The sequence below is a fragment of the Homo sapiens genome, chromosome 12, assembly GCF_000001405.40.
Source record: "Homo sapiens chromosome 12, GRCh38.p14 Primary Assembly".
NCBI lineage: Eukaryota > Metazoa > Chordata > Mammalia > Primates > Hominidae > Homo > Homo sapiens.
In genome coordinates this window covers 21,381,167-21,399,062 of record NC_000012.12, presented here as the reverse complement: position 1 = coordinate 21,399,062, position 17,896 = coordinate 21,381,167, and the positions used below count along the sequence as shown (strand labels likewise).

At 39.1% G+C, this 17,896-nt stretch overlaps 1 protein-coding gene across 6 annotated transcripts in view, besides 2 other annotated features; it reads left to right on the top strand.

The window, feature by feature from the left end:
- SLCO1A2 (solute carrier organic anion transporter family member 1A2) overlaps positions 1-17,896 on the top strand; it is a 155,035-nt gene that overhangs the window by 20,572 nt on the left and 116,567 nt on the right. For 2 of the 6 annotated variants that reach the window (NM_001386937.1, NM_134431.5), the window contains exon 1: positions 3,558-4,157. The exons of the other annotated variants lie outside the window; for them this stretch is intronic. The gene's annotated coding sequence lies outside the window, so the exon portion shown is untranslated. Of the gene's footprint in view, positions 1-3,557; positions 4,158-17,896 lie in introns of those variants that run through there. 6 annotated transcript variants of the gene reach the window in all.
- Positions 3,135-4,066: an enhancer, noted in NCBI's record as "OCT4-NANOG-H3K27ac-H3K4me1 hESC enhancer chr12:21547931-21548862 (GRCh37/hg19 assembly coordinates)". NCBI's record gives its function as "activates a minimal SCP1, AML or CMV promoter by ChIP-STARR-seq in naive and primed H9 embryonic stem cells {active_cell/tissue: H9 hESC(naive and primed)}" and the evidence as "EXISTENCE:reporter gene assay evidence [ECO:0000049][PMID:30033119]".
- Positions 4,067-5,000: an enhancer, noted in NCBI's record as "H3K27ac-H3K4me1 hESC enhancer chr12:21546997-21547930 (GRCh37/hg19 assembly coordinates)". NCBI's record gives its function as "activates a minimal SCP1, AML or CMV promoter by ChIP-STARR-seq in naive H9 embryonic stem cells {active_cell/tissue: H9 hESC(naive)}" and the evidence as "EXISTENCE:reporter gene assay evidence [ECO:0000049][PMID:30033119]".

The window sequence follows — 17,896 nt, the reverse complement described above, 5'->3', positions numbered from 1 at the left end:
ATTGAATACCCTTTATTTCCTTCTCCTGCCTAATTGCCCTGGCCAGAACTTCCAACACTCTGTTGAATAGGAGTGGTGAGAGAGGGCATCCCTGTCTTGTGCCAGTTTTCAAAGGGAATGCTTCCAGTTTTTGTCCATTCAGTATGACATTGGCTGTGGGTTTGTCATAGATAGCTCTTATTATTTTGAAATACATCCCATCAATACCTAATTTATTGAGAGTTTTTAGCATGAAGGGTTGTTGAATTTTGTCAAAGGCCTTTTCTGCATCTATTGAGATAATCATGTGGTTTTTGTCTTTGGCTCTGTTTATATGTGGATTACATTTATTGATTTGCGTATATTGAACCAGCCTTGCATCCCAGGGATGAAGCCCACTTGATCATGGTGGATAAGCTTTTTGATGTGCTGCTGGATTCGTTTTGCCAGTATTTTATTGAGGATTTTTGCATCAATGTTCATCAAGGATATTGGTCTAAGAATCTCTTTTTTTGTTGTGTCTCTGCCTGGCTTTGGTATCAGAATGATGCTGGCCTCATAAAATGAGTTAGGGAGGATTCCGTCTTTTTCTATTGATTGGAATAGTTTCAGAAGGAATGGTACCAGTTCCTCCTTGTACCTCTGGTAGAATTCAGCTGTGAATCCATCTGGTCCTGGACTCTTTTTTTGTTGGTAAGCTATTGATTATTGCCACAATTTCAGCTCCTGTTATTGGTCTATTCAGAGATTCAACTTCTTCCTTGTTTAGTCTTGGGAGAGTGTATGTGTCCAGGAATTTATCCATTTCTTCTAGATTTTCTAGTTTATTTGCGTAGAGGTGTTTGTAGTATTCTCTGATGGTAGTTTGTGTTTCTGTGGGATCGGTGGTGACATCCCCTTTATCATTTTTTATTGCATCTATTTGATTCTTCTCTCTTTTTTTCTTTATTAGTCTTGCTAGTGGTCTATCAATTTTGTTGATCCTTTCAAAAAACCAGCTCCTGGATTCATTAATTTTTTGAAGGGTTTTTTGTGTCTCTATTTCCTTCAGTTCTGCTCTGATTTTAGTTATTTCTTGCCTTCTGCTAGCTTTTGAATGTGTTTGCTCTTGCTTTTCTAGTTCTTTTAATTGTGATGTTAGGGTGTCAATTTTGGATCTTTCCTGCTTTCTCTTGTGGGCATTTAGTGCTATAAATTTCCCTCTACACACTGCTTTGAATGCGTCCCAGAGATTCTGGTATGTTGTGTCTTTGTTCTCGTTGGTTTCAAAGAACATCTTTATTTCTGCCTTCATTTCGTTATGTACCCAGTAGTCATTCAGGAGCAGGTTGTTCAGTTTCCATGTAGTTGAGCGGTTTTGAGTGAGATTCTTAATCCTGAGTTCTAGTTTGATTGCACTGTGGTCTGAGAGATAGTTTGTTATAATTTCTGTTCTTTTCCATTTGCTGAGGAGAGCTTTACTTCCCAGTATGTGGTCAATTTAGGAATAGGTGTGGTGTGGTGCTGAAAAAAATGTATATTCTGTTGATTTGGGGTGGAGGGTTCTGTAGATGTCTATTAGGTCCGCTTGGTGCAGAGCTGAGTTCAGTTCCTGGGTATCCTTGTTGACTTTCTGTCTCGTTGATCTGTCTAATGTTGACAGTGGGGTGTTAAAGTCTCCCATTATTAATGTGTGGGAGTCTAAATCTCTTTGTAGGTCACTCAGGACTTGCTTTATGAATCTTGGTGCTCCTGTATTGGGTGCACATATATTTAGGATAGTTAGCTCTTCTTGTTGAATTGATCCCTTTACCATTATGTAATGGCCTTCTTTGTCTCTTTTGATCTTTGTTGGTTTAAAGTCTGTTTTATCAGAGACTAGGATTGCAACCCCTGCCTTTTTTTGTTTTCCATTTGCTTGGTAGATCTTCCTCCATCCTTTTATTTTGAGCCTATGTGTGTCTCTGCACGTGAGATGGGTCTCCCGAATACTGCACACTGATGGGTCTTGACTCTTTATCCAATTTGCCAGTCTGTGTCTTTTAATTGGAGCATTTAGTCCATTTACATTTAAAGTTAATATTGTTATGTGTGAATTTGATCCTGTCATTATGATGTTAGCTGGTTATTTTGCTCGTTAGTTGATGCAGTTTCTTCCTAGTCTCGATGGTCTTTACATTTTGCCATGATTTTGCAGCAGCTGGTACCAGTCGTTCCTTTCCATGTTTAGTGCTTCCTTCAGGAGCTCTTGTAAGGCAGGCCTGGTGGTGACAAAATCTCTCAGCATTTGTTTGTCTGTAAAGTATTTTATTTCTCCTTCACTTATGAAGCTTAGTTTGGCTGGATATGAAATTCTGGGTTGAAAATTCTTTTCTTTAAGAAATTTGAATATTAGCCCCCACTCTCTTCTGGCTTGTAGGGTTTCTGCTGAGAGATCCACTTTTAGTCTGATGGGCTTCCCTTTGAGGGTAACCCGACCTTTCTCTCTGGCTGCCCTTAACATTTTTTCCTTCATTTCACCTTTGGTGAATCTGACAATTATGTGTCTTGGAGTTGCTCTTCTCGAGGAGTATCTTTGTGGCGTTCTCTGTATTTCCTGAATCTGAACGTTGGCCTGCCTTGCTAGACTGGGGAAGTTGTCCTGGATAATATCCTGCAGAGTGTTTTCCAACTTGGTTCCATTCTCCCCATCACTTTCAGGTACACCAATCAGACGTAGATTTGGTCTTTTCACATAGTCCCATATTTCTTGGAGGCTTTGCTCATTTCTTTTTATTCTTTTTTCTCTAAACTTCCCTTCTCACTTCATTTCATTCATTTCATCTTCCATCGCTGATACCGTTTCTTCCAGTTGATCGCATCGGCTCCTGAGGCTTCTGCATTCTTCACGTAGTTCTCGAGCCTTGGTTTTCAGCTCCATCAGCTCCTTTAAGCACTTCTCTGTATTGGTTATTCTAGTTATACATTCTTCTAAATTTTTTCAGAGTTTTCAACTTCTTTGCCTTTGGTTTGAATGTCCTCCCGTAGCTCAGAGTAATTTGATCGTCTGAAGCCTTCTTCTCTCAGCTCGTCAAAGTCATTCTCCATCCAGCTTTGTTCCGTTGCTGGTGAGGAACTGCGTTCCTTTGGAGGAGGAGAGGCGCTCTGCTTTTTAGAGTTTCCAGTTTTTCTGTTCTGTTTTTTCCCCATCTTTGTGGTTTTATCTACTTTTGGTCTTTGATGATGGTGATGTACAGATGGGTTTTTGGTGTGGATGTCCTTTCTGTTTGTTAGTTTTCCTTCCAACAGAGAGGACCCTCAGCTGCAGGTCTGTTGGAGTACCCTGCCGTTTGAGGTGTCAGTGTGCCCCTGCTGGGGGGTGCCTCCCAGTTAGGCTGCTCGGGGGTCAGGGGTCAGGGACCCACTTGAGGAGGCAGTCTGCCCGTTCTCAGATGTCCAGCTGCGTGCTGGGAGACCCACTGCTCTCTTCAAAGCTGTCAGACAGGGACATTTAAGTCTGCAGAGGTTACTGCTGTCTTTTTGTTTGTCTGTGCCCTGCCCCCAGAGGTGGAGCCTACAGAGGCAGGCAGGCCTTCTTGAGCTGTGGTGGGCTCCACCCAGTTCGAGCTTCACAGCTGCTTTGTTTACCTAATCAAGCCTGGGCAATGGCGGGCGCCCCTCCCCCAGTCTCGCTGCTGCCTTGCAGTTTGATCTCAGACTGCTGTGCTAGCAATCAGCGAGACTCCATGGGCGTAGGACCCTCCGAGCCAGGTGCGGGATATAATCTTGTGGCGCGCCGTTTTTTAAGCCTGTTGGAAGAGCGCAGTATTCGGGTGGGAGTGACCCGATTTTCCAGGTGCGTCCGTCACCCCTTTCTTTGACTCAGAAAGGGAACTCCCTGACCCCTTGAGCTTCCCAAGTGAGGCAATGCCTCACCCTGCTTTGGCTTGCGCACGGTGCGCGCACCCACTGACCTGCGCCCATTGTCTGGCACTCCCTAGTGAGATGAACCCGGTACCTCAGATGGAAATGCAGAAATCACCCGTCTTCTGCGTCGCTCACGCTGGGAGCTGTGCACCGGAGCTGTTCCTATTTGGCCATCTTGGCTCCTCTCCCCTTGTTCCTGATTTTAATGGGACTACCTTGGTTATTTCACAGCACACTTACGGTGCTTTGTGAAGTGCCTGCTATGTTACTATCATCATCTTCCTGACAAGATGGTAAGCAATTGTTAGTGAAATAGTAGTGGAAGGATCTGTTATTTTATGTGAATTAATCTTTTTAGCAATTGATATTATTGGCTTGAGTGTACCACCCACTCCCAGGTGTTGAGAAATATCTAAATATCTGAAGAAAAAAACTGTTATACAAGCCTCTCGATGGGATAATTTACTATTCCCCAGGACCAGCATTCTAAGCACTTTTTCTTCTCTGTGCACAGTAGATTTTGTGGAGGTGGCCGTATCACCTTGTTCAGGAATAGCTTGCTCTAACTGCAGTATGTCTCCCTGCACTTTTCTTTTTCTTTTTTTTTTGTTTTTTGTTGTGTGTGTGTGTGTGTGTGTGTGTGCGTGTGTTATTTTTGAGACAGTGTCTCTCTCTGTCACCCAGGCTGGAGTGTGGTGGTACGATCACAGCTCACTTGCAGCCTCTACCTCCTGAGCTAAAGAGATCCTCCCATCTCAGCCTCCCCAGTAGCTGGGACTACAGGCATGCACTACCACTTCTGGCTAATGTGTGTGTGTGTGTGTGTGTGTGTAAAGATGTGGTTTCATCATGTTGCCAAGGCTGGTCTCAAACTCCTGGACTTAAATAATCTGCCCACCTTGGCCTACCAAAGTGCTGGGATCACAGCCCACTGCACTGACCCAACATTTCATATTGTTGCTGAGCCACTAAGGCAAGCTGACCAGAATGGGAAGAAAGACATACATAGACAGTGTCTTTTGAAGCACTGTCTTGTTCATGGGCCCGTGTTTCTTTCTTGAAATCTATTAGCACCTGATCTGGAAAGGCAGTTTTCACTTACAGAAACCCTAGTTTTATCTTGTCTCTATGAAGGTCACTGTGCAATATTGAACCATGGCTGTGCTCTGCTTATTGCTAGATTGATACAAGGTTTATTATCAGTTCTGTTATTGTTTTATAGAGGTAAGCACTAGGAAATATGTTTACATGAAGATGTTGTTGAAGGAAGGCATTTTACTACAGTAATGTCGCTTGGTTATTTGAACCCTCTGTAGTTACATGTCAAAATTCAAATTGTGTTGCAATATCAAAAATTACTGTCAATTGATAAGTTGGTTTTCTTTCAAGTTTGTTGAAAACAATCAAAATTTTTACAGAAGAATATGTTAGTTATTAGAATCTTTCATTTTGCCAATTTCTGAGATATATACCTTACAATTTTATCTAGATTGAAAAAAGGATTAGTAACCGTATCTGTTTATCTCTTACAGTCACCTGGTTTTTGAAGCTACAAGTAGATTATATCAGCCTAAAAAAATTAAATTGGGCATTGTCTATTGCAGAATTTTCTTTGATAAGCTGAGCAAAGATTTATTTATCTTTGCCAAATTAAAAATTTTTAATCCGGCTGGTCTCTAAGCAGCTTCAAAAATCTTGACAGAGCAACAGAAATAAATATTTTTGAGAATTTTATATCTATATTGATTAGAATTTCTTTCACAATTGAAAATGGTTGTTTCTTATTATGCATCTAATAGAATCAGTGTATATCATTCTCTGAACAGGAGTAATTAATCTTAAATAAAGGAAACTGGTTTTCTAAGGTTTAGTGCATTGTTACCTAGATTGCTTTTGGGGATGCAATGAAAATCACTGTGCAGTGTGAACCATGGCTGTGTTCTACTTATTGCTAGATTGATAGAAGGTTTATTATCGGTTCTGTTCTTATTATGTGATCTTGATCTTTATCTGCATATACATATATATATATTCTGATTTTAAATGTACAATGAAATCTTCTGTTAGAAAATTAACTACAAAACCTAAGGTATTTGGCCAGTGCTAAACAAGAGACTTAGAGAAATATGGTCTCATGTGATTCTGCTCCAGGAGGCATGAATTATTGATAATAGGAGAGGAGGATGAAATGTGCCACAGTAAGATTTAGAATAGGTGAGAGATAAGTCCTTCCTTTTGTAACATTTGGAAAGGAAATTATGCAGGGGTCAAGGGTTGGGAAAGAAGGACTAGCATGATGACTAAACTTAAGATACATTTTCAGAGAGGTTGGCTTTTCAAAAGGGTCTACATGGAAAATGAAGAATTGAAAGTGACTTCTCTTAAAACTATTCATGTTCATGTACCCATTGGAAAATTTTATGCATTCTAAATATTCATATACCTTGGTTTGGAGAACCTATTTTAGACCACCTAGGGAACTTGTAAAAGAAATGTACAAGAAGAGGTTTTATGAAAACTCTCATTGCCAGCATGTGTAACAGGTTGTAGAGGTAGAGAGGTGCACTAGAGATCAAAGGGTAGAGATAAAAATAAAAGTCGTTTCTGTAGAGAGAGTTGTGCTGTGTGTCCCACTTTCACTTCTGTTAGGGGGAGGTAAGCTATTCTTTCTTCTGATTTAAAGCCTAGTGAGCATGACTTTAAGTTTGCTCAGAGTGCTTTATATTTGTCCTCTGCAGTTTGGGAGACACAGGGGACTGGTGTCCAATTCATACTTAGGAAATTTAAGAAGCCTAAAAGGCAAAAAGGCTGTGGCTGGATCCACCTGCCAGGAGGTGAATTGAAGAGAGGGCTACATTTGAAAAGGAGCTTCACCCCAGCCAGCGATGGGTTACCCAGAGCTACTTTGGGGCTCTTACATCTAGAATGATTGGATCATATGGAGTGGTGATGAGAGTTTAGTAGAAAGAGGCTAAAAGTGTATGTTGAATATCTAAAGTTGCAGGGAGAAATTGTATGTGATTAGTCAGAGGCGATGCATTTACCCCACCAAAGATACTGCAGATGTCAGACCATGAATGAGGGGTGGAATCTCCAAAGAATCCAAGAAAGTGGCCTTAAGAGAAAGAGTCAGTTTTAAATACTGCTCTGGGCAAAGGAATCAAGGAAGACATTTCTTCCTTCATTAACTCTTCCCCTTTAAATTTCAACTCTAGAGGAGATAGAGCAGCTTTGTTCAATTGTGGGAGAAAAAGGAAGGCAGAAGGAGAGAAACTAGGATGAAAAATAGAGAAATAACCTAGACCTTCTTTCTCAAATGTAGGCTTTGGACCTGATGTAGTGGGAGGGAAGGAGATTTGGTTTACGTAAAGTGCAAAGTGAACTAGACATATTAATCCAGAACTGCACCTTTTGGGGGAACTAAAAGTGACCAGAGGGTGTTTTGCTTTTTTTTTTTTCTTTTGAATGTCAACGGAAAGTAGTGCAGCCTGTTTGAGATTACAGTGTCAGTGGAATTTAAAAAAAATGGACCTATAAAATGAATTTGATAGGCAGTGGAGGAAGAACTAGCTTCTTTTCTGATGTCACCACATAAATCCCATTTGTTCAAGGTACCTGCACTTACTATCCTTTTCAAATGTAAATATTCCTTGGGAGTACAACAGTACATTATCGCAACTTTTGAGTATTTTTCAATAATACATTATGCTCAGAAAGACACCAGGATTATAATTTTTCCTTCCTGCAACTCTTCTTTCACTTCAGCATGCTGTTACTAGTTTTTCAGCTTATATATATATTTTGCCATTTAACTAACAGACAACTTCATGAATCATACAATAGATTTTGTTTCAGAGGCATGTCATCAGCTCCACGAGACTGAAATTGATAAGGACAGTCAAAGCATTTGAATCAAATTTGGGCTCCTCTATAAATGGGTATTTTTAAAGGAGAATTCATCACTTATAGTAATGCTGTAAATCTTGGTGTTAAAATCCATGCTAAATGGGACTCATTGGTAGGGCTGTCTAATATCTAAATTCAGTATGAACTATAATGTCAGAAAAATCTTTGATTTTGCTGTGATATGTTGTTACATTTACATGGAAAATTTCAGAAATTTACACATTTTAAATCTCTCAAAATAGTTGTTTCTTGTAAGACAGAAAACAAGTAAGTGTTCAAAGACATGTCCCACCTTTGAAATGAGGACAGAAAATAGAATGTGGCTTAGGGGTTACTTAATACAGCTACTCAGAGGCAGAACAAAGACAAGACAGAGCTGAAGGCTGACAACTTTTCAGTGAATTTGTCTAGCAGCAGGAGCTACCAATTATTGAAATTTATAACATTTCAGGCTCTCTAAGAGGGACTTTACATAATTTATCTCATTTTTTTATATGCTATGTGGATATCTAATCTTTTTAGGATTCAGCAAAAGAAGATTTAGATATCTCCTATTTGAGTCAATTCTAGGAAGCCTAAGAGATCTACCAAGATGGCCCCTTGGCAATCACCAAAGCATCAGAAATATTTCTGTTATTTGGGTTTAAAAGTTAGTATCAATTCCATTGTTGCAGTAGCAGCTTGGGTGTTCCAAAATGTCATCCAAGTACAGTATATGATGTAAATGTTTGCAAGACAGGAAAAAAAATAGGAAAATGTAGACTAGGAAATGTGTTGGGGGAATTGAGAAGTTGAAGGACAAGAAAATAGTATCTTTATTCTTCCACAACCACATTTTACAAACCTTATCATCATTTTAACTATAAATATATTTGTATTTCAGATTTTTAAAAGGCTATCTTTCAAAAGTTTACCTTCTTTTCCTTTTTGTGGACATTAGACACTGTTTAAGGTCCATATGACAATGTTCGTTGAGTAAAATAAAGTATGCAACAGTAATTTAGAAACTCATATCTATGTAAGTTTATTTAAGTTTGGCCATATGGTCAGATGCCTCCTGACACTACAAATATCTTTCTGTTATTTAAAATTTTCTATAAAACTCTAGCAGTAAATAGTTGGTAATGTGAACATAGTTCACCAACATTTTTGTCTTACAAGTTACACATTTTTGATAGTAACTGTATAATTCCATCTATTTTTATAAGAATATAACATGGTGATCTAGCGTAACAGTATACATTTATTTGCATTTTAAAATGAAGAAGCAGTATGTAAATATTAGGCTAGTGCAAAAGTAATTGTGTCTTTTTGCCATTAAAAGCAATTTAATTTTAACATAAAAGTATATTAGTAATATACTATAATTATATAATATAATTAGTAATATAATAGAATTATATAATAAAAACCCATAGGAAGCATTTTATTTTGAAGAAGAAACCAGATAGTTTATTTTTCCTACTCATTTTCTTTCTTGTATCTCTGTGGGTGCATGAGTCTTTTTCTTCATTTCTTAGTGGCACTTATGCCATTTGTGATTTGTATGTGTGTGCCTACTCTTTATGCTGTAAATCTTGGTGTTAAAATCCATCCTAGATGGGACCCATTGGTTGGTCTGTCTAATATCTAAATTCAATATGAACTATAATGTCATGTCAAAAAATCTTTGATTTTGCTATATTTTGTTCCATTTACATGAAAAAATAAGTTCTTCATATGGATACATAAGAGTGCAGAGGTTAGACTGTATTTTGAGTTTCTGGTTTCCAGTTGGGACATTGATCATTTGTTAACTTAAGATCTTAGCTTGTGAATAAGTCTTATCTGCATTGGATAAGACTTAATAAGTCTTATCTGCATCTGGATCTTAGCTTGTTAATATGTCTTATCTGCATAACATTTTGACCATATTTGTGGGTATTTCTACAGACTAAGTTAAGTTTTAAATATATATTTCTAAGAAAAGTGAGAAAGAAAAACGTGTAGGCAGTAATAACATAAGCTTTGCAGAGGCTAATTTCCAGATACAAACATATAGTACAATGTACCTGTAATAATTATAACTATTTTTGACAAGTAAATTGATATCTTGTTGCCTTCCTTTATTATAGATGAAAAAACAGTTTACCTCAGATTACTGGTCACAGTGACCCTAACTCATATTTGGTTGTAAGGTAGTACATTACCCATTTTAGGTTATTCAGCTCCTAAGCTCGCAAATATTGACAGGGCAACATGTACCACAGATGTGTGAGATTTTAAAGCTATTGAAGAGGCTCAGTACATTGTGTCTTAAAAATAGTCACATTTAAGCATCCATTGGATTGCTGTATTATGGTATTTACAATGATGAGGTACAAAAGGGTCTAGGTCTATGTTTGCATATACTCTGGAAGACAAATCCTACATTTGCAGCATTTTACCAGTTGCAGCTATTAGAATCTCCTAAATATCTTAACCTGTGGGCTTACATATTTTCTTATTTTTTTTTCAGAAGTCTTAGAATCAAGAAAGGGCCATATATGAAAGTAGTGAAGTGGCATAATATTTTTTAATATTTCATGCTTTGGTCAATGCCACAGTACCCTAGAATTTTAGTAATGATTACAGTTAAAAATTAGTGTTGTATTGCTAGATGTATTAGTCCATTTTCATACTGCTATAAAGAAATACCCAAGACTGGGCAATTTATAAATAAAGAGAGATTTAAGGGACTCATAGTTCCACATGGCTGGGGAGGCCTCACAATCATGGCAGAAGAAGGAGGAGCAAAGGACATCTTACATGGTGGCAGGCAAGAGAAAAGTACAAAGGAACTGCCCTTTATACAATCATCAGATCTTGTGAAATGTCACTATCACAAGAACGGCATGGGAAAAACCGCCCCCATGATTCAATTACCTCCCACTGGGTCCCTTCCATGACACATGGGGATTATGGGAGCTACAATTCAAAATGAGATTTGGGTGGAGACACAGCCAAATCATATCATTCTGCCCCTGGTCCCTCCCAAATCTTATGTCCTCACATTTCAAAACACAATGTGCCCTTCCAACAGTCCCCCAAAGTCTTAACTCATTTCAGCATTAACTCAAAAGTCCAAGTCCAAAGTCTTATCAGAGATAAGGCAAATCCCTTTTGTCTATGAGCCTGCAAAATCAAAAGCAAGTTACTTCCTAGATACAATAGGGGTACAGACATTGGGTAAATATACCCATTCCAAATGGGAGAAATTGGCCAAAACAAAGGGGCTACAGGCCCAACATAAGTCTAAAATCCAATGGGCAGTCATTAAACCTTAACATTCCAAAATGATCTCCTTTGACTCCATGTCTCACATACAGGTCGTGCTGATGCAAGAGGTGGGCTTCCATGGCCTTGGGCATCTTCACCTCTGTGGTTTTGTAGGATACAGTGCTCTTTCTGGCTGATTTTATGGGCTGGTGTTGCGTGTCTGTGGCTTTTCCAGGTGCACGGTGCAAGCTGTCGGTGGATCTACCATTCTGGGGTCTGGAGGACAGTGGCCCTCTTCTCACAGCTCCACTAGGCAGTATTCCATTGGGGACTCTGTGGGGGCGCTCCAACCCCGCATGTCCCTTCTGCACTGCGCTAGCAGGGGTCCATGAGGGCCCTGCCCTTACAACAAACCTCTGCCTGGACATCCAGGTGTTTCCACACATCTTCTGAAATCTAGGTGGAGGTTCCCAAACCTCAATTCTTGACTTCTGTGCCCCGTAGGGTCAATACCATACGGAAGCTGCCAAGGCTTGGAGTTTGCATCCTCTGAAGCCAAGCTTGAGCTGTACCTTGGCCCCTTTTAGCCATGATTGGAGTGCCTGGGATGTAGGGCATCAAGTTCCAAGGGTGTACACAGCAGGAGGGCCCTGGACCTGGCCCAGGAAATCATTTTTCCTCCCTAGGCCTCAGGGCCTGGGATGGGAGGGGCTGCTGTGAAGGTCTCTGACATGTCCTGGAGACATTTTCTCCATCATCTTGGTGATTAGCATTTGGCTTCTTGTTACTTACGCAAATTTCTGCAGCTGGCTTGAATTTGTCCCCAGAAAATGGGTTTTTCTTTTCTACTGCAATGTCAGGCTGCAAGTTTTCCAAACTTTTATGCTCTGTCATCTCTTGAATGCTTTGCTGCTTAGAAATTTTTTCCACCAGAAACCCTAAATCATCTCTCTCAAGTTCAAAATTCTCTAGGGCCGGGGCAAAAAGCCAGCAGTCTCTTTGCTAAAGCATAGCAAGAGTCACCTTTGCTCTAGTTCCCAAGAAGTTCCTCATCTCCATCTGAGACCACCTCAGCCTGGACTTCATTGTCCATATCACTATCGGTGTTTTGATCAAAGCCATTCAACAAGTCTCTAGGAAGTTCCAAACTTTCCAACATTTTCCTGTCTCCAAAGCCCTGCAAGTCTCTAGGAAGTTCCAAACATTCTCACATTTTCCTGTCTTCTCTTCAACCCATCAAACTATTCCAACCTCTGCTTGTTACCCAGTTCCAAAGTTGCTTCCACATTTTTAGGTATATTTACAGCAGTGCCCCACTAATCCCGGTACCAATTTACTGCTTTAGTCCATTTTCATACTGCTGTGAAGAAATACCTGAGACTGGGTAATTTATAAAGAAAAAGAGATTTAATGGACTCACAGTTCCACATGGCTGGGGGGGCCACACAATCATGGCAGAAGGTGAAGGAGAAGCAAACACACGTCTTACATGGCAAAAGGCAAGAGAGAAGTGCAGGGTAATTGCCCTTTATAAAACCATCAGATCTCGTGAGACTTATTCACTATCATGAGAACAGTGTGGGAATAACCCACCTCCATGATTCAATTACCTCCCACCTGGCCCCTCCCGCAATATGTGGGGGTTATGGGAGTGACAATTCAAGATGAGATTTTGGTGGGGACACAGCCAAACCATATCACTAGGGATTGTTATATGCTAAGGGCTTTTTATACATTATTTCATCCTCATATCTTTGCAAGGCAGATATTGTTTTTTTAATATATAAATAAGAAAACTGAAGCAAAAATAAGCCAAGAAATGTATTCAAAGTTTTAAAAAAGTATCCTAACAAAGGTCTGCCTGATTCCAAAAATCCTGTCTTTCCCATTGCACCAATGACCCTACTATAGTATCTTTCAGTATCCTATTGACTTTTTGCTCTTTGGCATCACAGCAGGACATTCTTTACATTTTAAATTTTACTTCAATATGAAAGTTGAAAACACTTAGACAATATCTCTTGGCATAGCCAGATAATAATCATAAACTTGAAATCAAATAAAGCTCTGAAAACTGAGTTTGAATATCTGGGTACTCCAAGGGCTTGGTTCTGGTTCATATCCTCTTTTATTTTCCAGTGGCTTTTCTGCAGGAGGGGTTCTGGAAAAATATGGTTTCTAAGCACCTCGTAAGGATCAAATACTGTTTTCAGAAGGCTGATGAAGCTTCAGAAAAACAAATCTGTTTCTGTTGTCTTGCTCCTTTCCCTGTCTTGTCATGCCAGCCTCCTCTACCCATCCTCCAGGTTAACATATTAGGATTTCAAAACCAGAGTGGAATAGATGCTTTAAATCCTTATCACACCCAGCTGTGTGAAGAAAAGTGATTGCAAATGTATATGGGTCTCAAAGCCCAACCAGAGACATTGTACGGTAATAGGACTCCTTCATGCCCTTCTCTTTTGCTCTTTTTCCGTTTTGCTTTCCTCACAGTTTACCCCTACCAGTCCTCTACCAATGTTCTTGCTTAAGGTGCCTATCCTGTTCTCTTAGAGCTTTGCTCTTAACCAGCTGTTAGCTAACTTCAACTGTTAGTTGATATTGATGAGAGTTTTTATTTCAAGAAGGATTTGTCTTTTAATGAGAGATTCTTCAACTGAAAAGCACTTATGCACAAGAATGAATTTCAAATTATAGAAGGTTATGGAGTAAATTCTGGACAGAGTTTCTGCTCAAGATCTGTTGCTTGATCAGGTTATTTGTATTTACAAAGTGGAGGCATGGAGTCAATACAAAGAAGTGAGTGATCAGAAACCAGAAGAGAGTTTTATAACAGTTATAGCTGTATGTGGGACCACAGCCTCCTAGCTTTCACGTAAACTTATACTAAATTTTCAGCATTTCAATTGCAGAGGTTTCATATTTATATATTTATATGATAATCAGGGCATTATGTCCATGAAGGTAAAAAAGAGTTTTTAAAAAAAATCTGGCCGGGCGAAGTGGTTCACGCCTGTAATCCCAGCACTTTGGGAGGCCGAGACGGACGGATGACGAGGTCAGGAGATCGAGACCATCCTGGCTAACAAGGTGAAACCCCGTCTCTACTAAAAATACAAAAAATTAGCTCGGCATGGTGGCGGGAGCCTGTAGTCCCAGCTACTCGGGAAGCCGAGGCTGGAGAATGGCGTGAACCTGGAAGGCGGAGCTTGAAGTGAGCCGAGATCGCGCCACCGCTCTCCAGCCTGAGTGACAGAACGAGACTCCGACTCAAAAAAAAAAAAAAGAAAAAAAAACTAAGTGGACATATTTTTTTGATATATTTAATTTTTCTTTTTATAATGCCTTTCCATGATTTCAAGTTTTAAAAAGTTTATTAATGCAGTTTGTTATCTATGTGGTAAGATTTCTAACTACTTAAATTATATCTTTTTAGTATTTTAGATTTTCTTCCTGCTATTCTAATCTACTTACAACCCTGATAAACTTACCAGATATGCTGTTTCTATATTGTCTGTGATATCCTTTTAAGGGTTTGTGTGCCACTTCCTACTGATGATAACCTTTGTTCTAAATACCATAAGGAATGTTCCCACAGAGAAGTGGTGGATTTTCAGAGCCAGTATCTTTATGGTTCTTTAAGCATTTCGTAATTCTAGATGTGGTTGTGCGGTACAAGTTTCTTTGTGTCATTTTGTTATTGGAGCAGGGAAGGTATCTACTTATGCAAATCTCATTTAGGATTTGGGTAGATTAATTTCATTATTCTATTTTCCTTTTTGTTCATCTTTGAAGCTTTCTCTGCATTGTTTTGTACCCGCTTTTGTGACTGACTTTTTTTTCTTCTCTGTCTCTTTTAAAATTCTTAATAAAATGAATTTAGAAAGTACCCACTGTAATACCATACTGTTCTTTGGTTTGTGTAGTTATCATTGTTAATTCAGTTATCACTGATTGGACATTAAAAATATACCAGATACTTTGCATATTTTATTTCTAATCTTCAAGAAAACTATTCAAGATAGATATTACTATCCGTTTTACAAAGGGAGTATAAGATGCCACACTCTATCAACTTAATCACACTGTATTATAAATTTATATTAAAATAATTTGTTTTTTCATTATTCCTAGAGTAAATGTATTCAACCAATATGTATTGTGCATCTGTTATAGGCACATAATGGGCTTAAATGTTGTGGGGATTACAGAGATGACTCATACATCCTTCACCTCAGTTAGTTTACAGGCTGGATGGGGAAATAACACTTGAGCATACATAACCAAAAAATAAGGTAGAACCCGTGAACTTCTTCTAGGTGGTCTCAAAATCCCAACCACTAATATCATATCAAATATAAAAATAAGCTCACTAAACATGTTCAGTGACTGAGGGAATGTCTATGTAAATTCAGGACCTGTATTTACATAGACTCTTATCTGTGTGAGACTCTTATCTATGTATGACGGAAAGAATCATGATAGGCTCCATGGACAGTGTGGTCTTTGAGCAGAACCAGGGTACAGTGTAGATCCCAGAGGTGAGGAAAGGATATTTCAAGGCAGCAAGTTGTATAAAGCAAGAACGTGGAGGCAGGTGAGTGTGGGGTATGGGATGGTTAATGCACAAGGGAAGCAGTAATGAGGCAGATGAAAATATAGACCAAAATTCCATGGGGAGGACGTTAAGGGACCAGCTATAGGATGTGGGTCTACTTAGTCGGCAAAGGTTTTATTGAACCATAGAAGAAAATGTTCTTAGTTGTATACGGAACAAAGAAAATAGGACAATCCCATTTGGATTTTGGAAGAAAAAAAAGATGTGCTACCAGCAATCTTTCAGTGTTGGAAATATTTAGTAAGTGTATTGAATTTTTTTTAACTTTCTTCCAGTTAAAACCTTAAAAAACAAAATAAAACAAAGCAAAAGTATCTCATAATGGGTAGGGTAAAGATTGTTATTCTCAATATCAGACAAAGTGAATAACTATTTTAGTCCCATTCTTCTTTTGCCTGACCTGTGTGTCCAGTTTCAAGACAGACTGATTTGGCATGGTCTGACATTTAATAAAACACAGTGCAAAGTGGGAGTAAAAGAAAAATATTTTTATTTGGACATGATGTAGAGAAATTGTCTGCACTTCAGAGTCAATATACCTGAGTTTCAATCCTGAATCCATCCTGACTATGTGATCTTAGATAAGTCAGCTCATTTTCTTTCTTTCTTTTTTCGTTTCTTTTCTTTCTTTTTTTTTTTTTTTTGAGACGGAGTTTCTTCTGTCGCCCAGGCTGGAGTGTAGTGGCATGATCTTGGCTCACTGCAACCTCTGCCTCCCAGGTTCAAGCGACTCTCCCGTCTCAGCCTCCCAAGTATCTGGGATTAGAGACTTCCACCATCATTCCCGGCTAATTTTTGTATTTTTGTAGAGACGGGGTTTCACCATGTTGTCCAGGCTTGTCTTGAACTCCTGACCTTGTGATCCGCCCACCTCGGCCTCCCAAAGTGCTGGGATTACAGGTGTGAACCACCGCATCAGCCATTTTCTTTCTTAAAAATTTATTATCATTTCTTTATTTCAATAGCTTTTGGGGTACAAGTGGTTTTTGGTTACACCGATGAATTATATAGTGGTGAATTTTAACATTTTAGTGTACCTGTCACCCAAGAAGCGTACATTATATCTGACTGATGGTTCTTTATTCCTGGCCCCCTCTCACCCTCCCGCTTCTGAATCTCTAAAGTCCATTATATCACTCTGTGTGCCTTTGCATAACTGATAGCTTAGCTCCCCCTTGTAAGTGAGAACATACAGTTTTTGGTTTTCCACTCTTGTTGTTACTTCGCTTAGAATAATGGTCTCCAGCTCCATCCAAGTTGCTGCAAAAGACATTATTTCATTCCTTTTAATGGCTGAGTAGTATCCCATAGTGGGTAAATACCATATTTTCTTTATCCACTCATTAGTTGATGGGCACTTAGGTTGGCTTCACACCTTTGCAACTGTGAATTGTACTGCTATAAACATATGTGTGCAAGTGTGTTTTTCATATAATCACTGCTCTTCCTTTGGTTAGATACTCAATACTGGGATTACTGTATCAAATTGTAGATGTACTTTTATCTCTTTAAGGAATCTCCATATTCTTTTCCAGAGAGGTTGTACTAATTTACATTCTCACTAGCATTGTGTAAGCATTTCTTTTTCCCCACATTTACACGAATATCTATTGTTTTTCTACTTTTTTCTTTTTTTTCTTTTTGAGACGGAGTCTCGCTCTGTAGCCAGGCTGGAGTGCAGTGGCATGATCTTGGCTCACTGCAACCTCTGCCTCCCGGGTTCAAGTGATTCTCTTTCCTCAGCCTCCCAAGTAGCTGGGACTACAGGCACATGCCACCATGCCCGGCTAATTTTTTGTATTTTAGTAGAGATGGGATTTCACCATGTTGGCCGGAATGGTCTCCATCTCCTGACCTCATGATCTGCCTGCCTCAGCCTCCCAAAGTGCCGGGATTACAGCTGTGAGCCACCACGCCCAGCCTGTTTTTTGACTTTTTAATAATGGACATTCTTGCAGGAGTAAGGTGGTATCTCACTGTGGTTTTGATTTGCATTTCCCTGATGATTAGTGATGTTGCGCATTTTTTTCATGTTTGTTGGCCATTTGTATATCTTTTTTTAAGTAAATGTCTATTCATGTCCTTTGCCCACTTTTCAATGGGATTATTTATTTTTTTCTTGCTGATTTGTTCGAGTTCCTTTTAGATTCTGGATACTAGTTCTTTATCGGATGGGTAGTTTGCAAATATTTTCTCCGATTCTGTGGGTTGTCTGTTTACTCTGTTTATTATTTCTCCTGCTGTGCAGAAGCTTTTTAGTTTAATTACATC